At 35.9% G+C, this 3,476-nt stretch overlaps 1 annotated feature.

The window, feature by feature from the left end:
* Nucleotides 2,070–2,569: an enhancer, noted in NCBI's record as "H3K4me1 hESC enhancer chr4:133730595-133731094 (GRCh37/hg19 assembly coordinates)". NCBI's record gives its function as "activates a minimal SCP1, AML or CMV promoter by ChIP-STARR-seq in naive H9 embryonic stem cells {active_cell/tissue: H9 hESC(naive)}" and the evidence as "EXISTENCE:reporter gene assay evidence [ECO:0000049][PMID:30033119]".

Raw genomic sequence — 3,476 nt, forward strand, 5'->3', positions numbered from 1 at the left:
TGGGACCAAAAACCCATGAAAATCCCATTAGAAGGGTAGCATGAATGGTTTTACAAAAGTATAACAATGGAAATACTATGGCAATGGCAAAAAGTCATACACATAGACCAGTGGAGCTGAATCAAGAGCCCATAAACATGAACATATGTGATCAAATGGTGTATAACAAGAGTAATAAAAATAAATAATAAATAATGCTGAGAAAAACTGTATGTTCACATGCAAAAGAATGAAATGTTAACCCCATCTGAAACCACTCAAAAAAATTAACCTGAAATGAATTAAAGACCTAAAGTAAGTCCTGAAACTATAACTACGAGAAAAAAATGTAGGGAAAATACTCCTGAACGTTGGTCTTAACAATATTTTTTTTCACTGAGACCAAAAGCATAGACAACAAAAGCAAAAATAAATGAGAGACTACAACAAACTAAGAAGTAAAACATTACATTATATCCAATAAATATGTACATTTACTGTGTGTCAATTCAAAAAAGAGACAGAGGAAAAAAAGCTGTATAGCAAAGGAAACAATCAACCAAATGAAAAGACATCCTATGGGCTGGGAGACAATATTTGCAAACCATATATCTGATAAGTGGTAAATATCCAAAATACATCAGGAACACATACAACTCAATAGCAAAAAATAATAATCATATTTTTTAAAGGCAAAGAATCTGAATAGACATTTTTTCTTAAAAAAAATCATTAAAATTGCCAACAGGTACATGGAAAGTTGCTGAACTAATCATCAGGGAAGAGCAAATCAAAACCATAATGAGATATAATCTCACACCTACTAGGTTGGGTATTATCCAAAAAGATAAGAGATAAAAACTTCCGGCAAGAATGTGAAATAAAGGGAACATTTATGCACTGTTGGTGGGAATGTAAACTGGTACAGTTATGATGGAAAACAGCATGAAAGTTCCTCAAAAAAAAAAAAAACAATGGAACTACCACATGATCCAACAATCCTACTTCTAGATATATATCCAAAGAAAATGATATGAGTATGTCAAGACATAGCTGCATTCCCATTGCAGCTCTATTCAAAACAGCCAAGACATGGAAACAATGTAGGTACCCAATGAGGGATGAATGGATAAAGAAAATGTGGCATGTACATTCAATAAAATATTATTCAGACTTAAGGAAGGAGGAGATCCTGCCATTTTAAAAAACATGAATGAAACTTCAGAGTATTATGGTAAGAGAAGTGAGAGAGGATGACAAATGCTACACGATAATACGTGTGGAAGCTAAAAAAAGTCAAACTCATAAAAACAGAGTAGAACAGTGTTTGCCAGTTGTCAGAGATGTAAGAAATGAGGAAATGTTAGTCAAAGGGTACAAACTTTCAGTTATAATATGGATAAGTTCTGAGGATCTAATGTACAGCATGAAGACTAAAGTTAATACCATATTGTACACTTGAAATTTGCTAATAAAGTGGATCTTAAATGTTCTTGCCACACAAAATAAAAAATATGGCAACTATGTGAGGTGATGGATGTGCTAAATTGCTTGGTTGTGGTATTAATTTCACAATGTCTATGTATATCAAACCATCACTTTTGCATATTTTATTTTTTATTGAGACCAAAAGCATAGACAACAGAAGCAAAAATAAACAAGACAGACTACATCAAACTAAGAAATCAATTTATTTGTCAATTATACCTCAAGAAAGAGTGAAGAAATAAAACATACATAATTTTAAAAAAACAATATTTTTAAAATTTTTGTGAAATGCTAAAATTAAAAAAAACGCATATATTTATTTTAACTACTATAAAGAACATTTTGATATGGGAGCAGGGTAGGGATGTGCTGGGTAGAGAAGGGCGGGGTCCCTGAAGGGGACTCCACCCTCGGGCCTGTGCCCACAGACCTAAGTGAATTAAACCATTTCTGTTTTCACACCCAAAAAGTTGCCTTCTGGCCCACCACACCCACCATCTCGTGCCCATCTAAACCCGAGACCTTAAGCAGACACACACACAAGCGTCTGGACGTCTAGAGGAACACACCAGCAGAAGAGCACACCGACAGACACAGGCAGGCCATCCACAGCGGAATGTCACGGATGCCAAGGGGAATTCAGTTGGAGGAGAGTCCGGATGCTGGGGGGCCCGACTCCAGGGGAAGATCACCTCCTCACTCCATCCCCCTTCTGGCCTCCCCATCCACCTCACTGAAAGCTACCTCCGCTCAATAAAACCTTGCACCCATCCTCCAAGCCCACGTGTGATCTGATTTTTCTGGTACACCACAGCAAGAACCCGGGATACAGAAAGCCCTCTGTCCTTGGGATAAGGCAGAGGGTCTAATTGAGCTGATTAACACAAGCTGCCTGCAGACAGCAAAACAGAAAGAGCACACTGTAACACATGCCCACTGGGGCTTCTGAAGCTGCAAACACTCAACCCTAGAGGCTGACACGGGGTCGGAGCCCCATGACCTGCTCCTCTGCATGCTCCCCCTAGGGGTTTGAGTAGCAGGGCACCAAATAAGCCAGTCATTTCACGTCCCTGTCACAAGCCCTGTGAGGGGGATAAGGGAACTTTTCCCACTTCAGTTTGGCTTAAAATGTATTGCAAAAAGATAAGGATTGACTCCCATATTTGGAAACGCATCCAAGTATCTCTATCTAATATTACTGTTTCCAAAGCAAAATAATAATAACATCACCATTATTTTATGTTTCTTAATAAAAACATAATAAAAGATAATTGAATAATACTATCCAAATTATGGTGTAAGGGCACATACCATACTGAAATGTAACAGCTTCACCGCGTGTACTTTTTCTAAATTTCTTATCCTTATACCCCTCAATAAACCTCAGGTAAAACAACACAAAAAATATTAACAATGGAATGATCAAAGAATAATACATGCCACAATTCCAGTTAAAAATATTATAGAGAAAAATGCTAATTTTACATGCGACAGAAGCAAAATGCAGCAGCAGTCCTCTGATTTTATAACATTAGTTATTGTTTTCAACTAAAACCTACTCAATCTTTAATTATCAGTTAGGTCAGTTAAGTGCCCCAGGGATCTGAACAAGTTGATTTCAATCCCTTATGTGGCTTAACGCTTTATATAGAAAGGTACTTGTCATATCCTGAATCGGAGTCAATGTGTGTGAAATTGCTTTCAGTGTATCACAAGAAAGACTTTATTACTACAATTTTGAAACCATTAAGTACATTTAACATCTTCTTTTTCACTCTTCAATTCACTTTAGGTAAAGTTTATTTCTAAACATATGAGAATAATCCAAAAACAAAAATGTAAGATTATTTATCTTTTGTAATAATCAATTAACATTTTGGAAAACATGTTGTAAGTAGATATTGTTAAATTAATTACAAAAGTAATGAATTAGAAAAATAAAACATTTACTGACTTTTCCCAGATCTTGTTTTCTAGATCTAAATTCTACCCCAGGCTATTTATGTAGA

Source organism: Homo sapiens, chromosome 4 (assembly GCF_000001405.40).
Source record: "Homo sapiens chromosome 4, GRCh38.p14 Primary Assembly".
In the NCBI taxonomy this organism is placed as follows: Eukaryota; Metazoa; Chordata; class Mammalia; order Primates; family Hominidae; genus Homo; species Homo sapiens.